Raw genomic sequence first — 8,025 nt, forward strand, 5'->3', positions numbered from 1 at the left:
GTTGGGATAGAGAAGTTCAGTTGTTTCCTCTGACTTTTTAATTTAGGAAAACAGAGCAAAACAATACCAAAAAATCTTCTGTGTCTTTAGTTAGACACAAAGCTACTGAAAATAGAGACTGTTTTGTGTGTGCGTGTGCCCTGGAAGCTTAGTATGGGTAGTTTCTGGTCAATAAGATACTGGCAGAAAGGCTGTGTGAAGCCCCAGGGAAGCTCTTGAAGGCTTCTGTGTGCAATCCACTCTGTATCAGCCAATTCCTTCTTGGCAAGAATATAGGCATGTTAGCGAGCATTTTACATCATGCATGAAGACAATCACAGTGTTGCAGTTTTGCCAATGCACCGCAATGCAGCAGTCTCTCATGAGGTATCACCCTGAGTTCTTTGTCTCACGGCCAAGAAAATTAAGAAGTGTGGACACAAAGGGTGAGGTTGGACAAAAGTTTAATGAGGAAAAGAAGAAAGCTCTCCACAGCAGAGAGGGGGTCCTGAGTGGGTTGCCCACTATGAGGCTGTGGTCTGGGATTTTTTTTTTGAGATGGAATCTCACTCTGTCACACAGGCTAGAGTGCAGTGGCACAATCTTGGCTCACTGCAACCTCCGCCTCCTGGGTTCAAGCGATTCTCCTGCCTCAGCCTCCTGAGTAGCTGGGATTACAGGTGCACGCCACCATGCCTGGCTAATTTTTGTATTTTTGGTAGTGACGGGGTTTCACCATGTTTGACCAGGCTGGTCCCAATCTCTTGACCTCGTGATCCGCCCACCTTGACCTCCCAAAGTGCTGGGATTACAGGGGTGAGCCACCACGCCTGGCTGGGGTCTGGGGTTTTTATGGACTGGGAAGGTAAGGAATGTGTTGATTGGTCTTGGAGAAGGCATTACTCAGCTTGGCCCGGGAGTAATCAGCAGTTGAAGTGATGACACATAGAGGCTACTCAGCTTGGCCTGGGACCTTGGCCCGGGACAAATCAGGAGCTGAAGTGAAAGCTTAGCAGGAACTTGGCCCAGGACCAATCAGATGCTAAAGTGATGATTCATGGAGGCTTGTCTCACAATCCAAAGCATGTTCAAAAAAGGAAAGGAAAGTGCCCACCGGAACCCACTGGAACTGCTGTGTATATGCCCACAGAAGGAGAAGAGACTATTTCCTGTAAGCCTGCTGGTTATAAAAAGAACAAAGGCATTTCTATGTTGCATCTTTTTTCCTTATCAGTGTAGCTGGGGGCACGTCTTAAGCACAAAGAACAAAGGCATTTCTATGTTGGGCCTCATTCCTTTATCTCCGTGGGCCAGAGGTTTGTGCAAGTTTCCTTATCTGTGCCTGAAGCCTGGTTTTACAGGCTGTTTCTCTGCTTAAAGGAGTTTTACCAAGGACCCACCCTAACTACTTAACTTTTCTTTCTCAACAGCTCAAGTTAAAGCTGAACAGCAATACAGGAGAAAGCTGGATTCCAATGCCATGAATCTCCCACCTAAGTCTTGAAAGCTTGCATAAGAAATAAAAGTCCTCTTATTTTATTTAAGGCATGTGTTCTTGGCAACTGCTAATTAGTAAAAACTATTCCTAACTTAAGGTTTCCAAAACTTTTTTTCACCATCCTAGCACATAGAGTCAAAGATAACATTTCTTCACCCCAAATGGTATAAACTGATGAGTTTATTAATGTTCTCAGGCTTCTGGGATAGAGCCGATAGCCATCCTACTTCCTGACTTGTCATTACAAATATTAAAAGAATAAGTAACCAATAACAAAGAGGATACATGACTCCCAATGTGGCGTGAGTAGTGCTGAAGAAGCTATGTTCCAACTAATAGAAGAGCTATTATGAGAAACTATACACATACCAATTAAGTTCTATAACCTTCATTAATTAGCAACACCAAGATTGGAAAAATAGTCTGGATCCACATAAGGATAAATTCTGTTTTTGAATAACAGGAACACATTGAATAACTTTGACCAAGAGGCAATGATGTTACAAAAAAAAATTATTTTAGGAATGTTAAAGTCCTAATAGCATGAAGAAAGTATTTAAGGTGAGAAAGAATGAAGACTGTTGTGGGAGAATAGACAATAAGCATCAAGTGTCTAAATTAAAGCAGATATAAAAATGAAAGGAGAGATTTGAAAGACACTTTAAAGTCTTTTTGATGGATAGGTTGTAAAAAGTGGCCAAGTTTTAAATGTTCATATTTTATTCATGAATTACTAGGAACATGAGTATAGCATTAAAAAACAAACAGTAAATATAAGGAAAATAGCTTGTTTAGAAGATAATGACTTCATTTAGAATCACAATTTTGAGATGATTTCAAAATTTTAGTATATCAAGAATATCAATGGAAAGACATAAGTTCTCAAAGAACCAATGAATATTAATATATGTATTTTCACAGAGGCGAGAGTCAAAAGCACTAGAGAAAATTGAACACCAGAATCATGATTTCTTTGTTTTTTTCTTATATTACTTTGCTATAACTAACTGAAGCTTCATAGAGAAAGTTCCACTTGAGCTGGTCCACTTAGACAGATATCGATAGAACTACATACACTAAAGAGATGATATGTATTTATATACATGAGTAGATAGATGCCATGGGTAGATAGATAATTAATAGATAGATTGATAGATCGATAGATAGGTAGATAGATAAGGTGGATAGATAGAAGACAGATCAATAGATAGATGTATAGATATGACAGATTAATAGATAGAAAATGGATAGATAGAAACATAAATAGATGGGTAGATAGGTAGATTAATCGATGATAGATGGTGATAGATCAGATAGATAGATAGATAGATAGATAGATAGATAGATAGATAGATACATAAGATAGATGAGTAGATAGCTGGATAAATGACAGAAAGGAACAGATGAAATAGATGGATAGATAGATTTGGATAGACAGATTAGGATAAATAATAGATTTGTATAGTAAGTATAAATACATTTGGAATATAGATGGACAGATAGCTTCAGATAGATGATGGATAGATGATAGATAGATAGATAGATAGAGTGGCTGGTTGGATGGTTGAATGGATAGATTCAGATTCACTTGGTAGATGACAGGTAGATAGCTAGATAGCTAGGTAGATAGAGATAGATGAACAAATAGATTGACAGGATACATAGGCAGACGAATAGCAATATGATATGTAGAAGATGGAAAAGACTGTTAGATGCAGAGAATTAGATAAACAGCCTGAAGGAATGGACAGATCTCCAAATAGGAAGGTGGGTTACATCTCCAGGTTGGCTAAACCAAAGTGCCATTTTCTAGATGTGGAGGTTTCAGGTCTCTGCTGTTGTTGTAGGTAAACACGTTTATGGAAACATGAGGTTTTGCAAAGGCAGTTTTCTTATTTTTTTAATCATATACACTCTTTAAAGAGGGTAATCAGTCATGACCACCTCAGGGATTTCTTCATCTGTGCCTAGTGTCTGTATTACAGTTTGGATCTTCATTCTCCAGGTTCTACATGTTTGAGAACAACTGTAAAGAAGGTTCTAACTCCCAGCCTCACAGGCATTTGTTCCTCAGGTGGGGTATTTTTGTAATATTTTGATAATTATTTGAATAGATGGAGTCTAGAAATGCTCCTTTAGTCTTTCCAACAATTTTGTAAGCAACAGATAACCTGCAGTGATTTCCTTCCTCCTTAAAATATTAAGCTAACATTTGTTGCTGTAAATTTTAATAACGCAATATTTGTTATTGGTTATCATTGCAGAAAACATATTTAAGGGTGCCCATATGGAATAGATTATCTGCTCTTTTAGCATTTGAAGGCATTGCTGGGCTTATAACCTTTGGATAAAAAGGAATAATTGAATTTCAGGACAAGTAGTAGCAAAACAGTTATTTGTTGAAAGAGTACAGTTGAAGATTTTTATATCATGGACTTATATAAAACAATGCCCACCAAAACTTGGATATACAATTACTTCCAAATGCTTGTAGGAAATTATGTTCCAAAAGCATTCATTCTGGAAACTTATTGTCCTTATCTGAAAAGAAAGGACAATATTACATGTGAAAATGTGGTCAAAATTGCATACACAGCAAAATTAAAGGCATGAGATTTTATGAACATCTGTAAGGCAATAAATTTGAAATGAAGATAAAATATTCTCAGAAATATATAACTTTTAAAATTTATACTAAATATAAACAAAATTTGAATAGATCTGCAACCTTTAAAATAGTTGACTTGTTAATTTTAAATTTTCTTGTTGTGGCTATAATATTATACTATTAAGTCCAGCTGAAACATTCAAGCTACATTTACCTTTAAAATTATAGAAACTCTTCCACAAAATAGAAATTGGGCAACCCACTACAATTTCATGTTTCTAGTGAAAGCTTTTTGCCTGCATAAACCAGAACTTTATGCTTAAGAAAATTATAGATCAATATCACTTTGACTGTACTTTGAGATAGTGGTAAGTAAAATGTTAAATCACTGAAACAGTGTGTAAAGCTAAGGTTATGACATAAATGGCTTTGCTTCATCTGTGCAAAATACTTTTATTGCACAGTTCTTCCTTTCCATCTTGCCTTTTACAAAATTGTTCAGTTCTCACTTCCAGTTTTTTTTTTTTTTAAATCATATGGTTCCCTAGGTATGAAAATGCACTCCAGTATTATCACCTTGCAGGAGCTATGAGATTTCTTGCCCTCAGTCACAGATGGTTTATTTACCTTGCCTCACGATTGAAGCTAGTCATTAAGAATTTCTAATTACCCAAGGAGTTCCATGCCAATCCCTCTGCTTTGTCAGTGATAAAATCTGCAGCTCTCTCATCCCCACACCAGAAACAGAAGATAAATGGTGAGAGATGCAACAAAGAAATTTTATAAAATGTAAACTGTGGTCTAAGCCAAAGCACAGAATACTATGTAGTCATTAAAAGATACACTTTAAAGAATACATGACTCTGTTACAGAAGCAGAATATAAAGTAGCCAGTACAGTTTGCTCTCTCATTCTGTCTGTCATTTGAAAAAATCTCTCTCCTTTTTTTACTTTCTTTCTTTTTTTTTTAAGGAAGGATCTTGCTCTGTCAACCATGCTAGAGTACAGTGGCATGATCACAGCTCACTGCAGTCTTGACCTTCAGAGCCCAAGTGACCCTCCCTCTTTAGCCTCCCAAGTATCTGGGACTACAGGGATGGATCACCACACCTAACTAAATATGTAACTTTTTTGTAGAGATGGGGTCTAGCTATGTTGCTCAGTCTGTTCTCAGATGATCTTGCTTCTGCCTCTCATAGTGCTGGGATTACAGGTGTGAGCTACTGTGCCCAGCCTCCTCCTCTTTTCAGAGATCTTTCTATGCAAGCATGAACAGGAATTATCTCCAGGTAGTGAGATGTGAGGTAACTACCATTTTTCTGTTTATATTTCCCTAAATTTAAAAAAGTTCTGAAATATAACAATATTTCAAAATGTATTATAACATATAATGATAATATTCACTTTAGAAAATGTTTAAGTTCACTCCCAATGACATACTGGAGTTGACTCTACCAATATGGTGGTTGATATGGTGAGGCTTTTTGTCCCCACCCAAATCTCATCTTGAATTGTAATCTCCATAATCCCCATAATCCCCATGTGTCAAGGAAGACACCAGGTGGAGGTAATTGAATCATGGGGACAGTTTCCCCTATGCTGTTCTCTTGATAGTGAGTAAGTTCTCACGAGATCTCATGGTTTTATAAGTGTTTGGTAGTTCCTCCTATGTTCATTCTCCTTCCTGCCGCCTTATGAAGAAGGTAAGATTCCCCTTTGTCTTCCATCATAATTGTAAGTTTCCTAAGGCCTCCCTAGTCATGCTGAACTGTGAGTCAATTAAATCTCTTTCTCTTATATATTACTCAGTGTTTGGGCAGTTCTTTATAGCACCACTAATGCAATGGTGAAGTTGAACTTTTAGGTGATTTCCTAAACAAGCTTTATTTCATGCTAAATTATTTTCCTTAATCTCTTTAGTCAATCAAGTACTTCACCAATCTATTTATTTACTTATTTAACCAAACTCATTAGAAGTTTCTGAGCTATGAAGCCATTAATTACATCTACTCAGAATAGCAATGACTTTGTCTGAATTTGATTTTAGTATCACATGGAACGGAGGATGGTCAGTGAGTCTAACAAAACGCAGGCTTCATCCAACATTTGGAATATGATAGTCACTCTATTCTAATTATGGCATGACTGCTCTATGGGGTTTTTCATCCTTTGAGTAGTATGAGCTGCAATTCGCTGTATTTTAGAATGTCTTTAAGACACTTTGCCAGTCATGGAGTGATACTGCTGTTATTCGTGAGGCATTCATTTCATTATTGTGGAAATAAATGAAGACCACTGAAATGAGGACAAAGAGAGAATGTTTATTCCAGGTTTGCTAGAGCAAGGGAGGCACCCATCATCACTTGCATATGGTATTCAAAGGCAGGCAGAGAAGGCGGAAAGTTTTATAGTGTGAAAACAAAAGGCCCCCGGTGTGCCCTCATTGGAGGTTGCTAGTGTTGGGAAGCCCTAGGTGGCTCACAAGAAAATGAAGCATCCTGTGTGATTGGTTGGAGGTCCATATCTGGCTTTCTGTGTTTCGTCGTGCTTGAGGAGCAGGGGAGGAAACTAGGGAAGCTGTCAGTCATTAATCAAGTCCTGGTGGTTTGGGGCTGCTACAGAGATGATAGTTAAAATCAGCTCCTCAGAAATGGATGATGTTGAACTTTGCAGACTGATCACTGCAGATTGCAGTTCAGAATTCTTTTTTATATATGGTCAGGACATGGTCTGAATATTCAGTGTCTTCATTTTAAAGTGCAAAGTTCCACTGATGTAGGAAGAAGACATGTACACTGCAAAGTGCTTTGAGTGGCATCATCACAACACAGCTATGATGCACTGGCATTCTTTCTGGGACTGTGTTTTTATAGTCAGGGCTGAGATATTAATATGGAATCATTTCATGGCCACACGCTGCAGTAATCTATCTCCAAATATAGTACTGGGTCTGCTTATATCAGACATGATTTGGATGCTTAGAGAATTACAGATTTCTGGCCCTAATATTGGAAGGGTTCCATCATACTTGCATACCTCCATTTATTACTATATAAACTGCTTGAGACACAACGCTATTATGAACTAGGCTCTAAAATTCAGCTATTAATACTAGTTCCCCAAATATAGTTCTATCATTTACTAAAAGGCAGATATTCCAAAATTTTTTTTATTTTTTATTTTTTTGAGTCAGAGTCTTGCTTTGCCACCCAGGCTGTAGTTCAGTGGCACAATCTCGGCTCACAGCAACCTCCACCTCCTGGGTTCAAGCGATTCTCTTGCCTCAGCCTCCTGAGTAGCTAGGATTACTGGTGCACACCACCATGCCCAGATAATTTGTATGTTTTTAGTAGAGATGGGGGCTTCACCATGTTGGTCAAGCTGGTCTCGAACTCCTGACCTCAAGTGATCAACCTGCCTCAGCCTCCCAAAGTGATGGGATTACAGGCATGAGCCACCTTGCCCAGCCTTCTTCTTAAATGTTTTAAAGCTGTCTTAGGATCTATCCCCTGTTATGAAAAATGGAGAAAATAATACTACTTAGTTTTTTTAGAATCCTTTTGAGGATTAAATGACATATGTGTTATAATTAGAATCATTTGATAATTCAATATTGTAAAATGCTGAATTTCATTTTCACAAAGGGAAAATGCAATATAGTTATAAGAAAAATTCCCTGTAAAAATATTTTATTGATTATTGGTCAAAAACAATAAAGGCTCAATGTAGAAAAAGAAAAGCATGGGAAAATATAACTAAGCAATATATTCATTTGTAACACATAACATAGTATTTAGCCATTGCTAATATTTCACTGCATTTTCTTTCATATGTTTCTACCTACATGGAGATGCACACATACAATTGTAGATAACACTGCAGGAGGATGGTCCTGTATCATATCCACTGGCCATGCAAGTCTATTGTCTCTCCACGTAGA

The 8,025-nt window shown here is 37.5% G+C and overlaps 1 annotated feature.

Annotated features, from left to right (window-relative positions):
* Window positions 457-1,656: an enhancer, noted in NCBI's record as "P300/CBP strongly-dependent group 1 enhancer chrX:4969484-4970683 (GRCh37/hg19 assembly coordinates)". NCBI's record gives its function as "activates an origin of replication core promoter dependent on BRD2, BRD4, P300/CBP, MED14 and CDK7 cofactors, with strong dependence on P300/CBP, by STARR-seq in HCT116 cells {active_cell/tissue: HCT116}" and the evidence as "EXISTENCE:reporter gene assay evidence [ECO:0000049][PMID:35650434]".

The sequence above is a fragment of the Homo sapiens genome, chromosome X (genome assembly GCF_000001405.40).
Source record: "Homo sapiens chromosome X, GRCh38.p14 Primary Assembly".
NCBI lineage: Eukaryota > Metazoa > Chordata > Mammalia > Primates > Hominidae > Homo > Homo sapiens.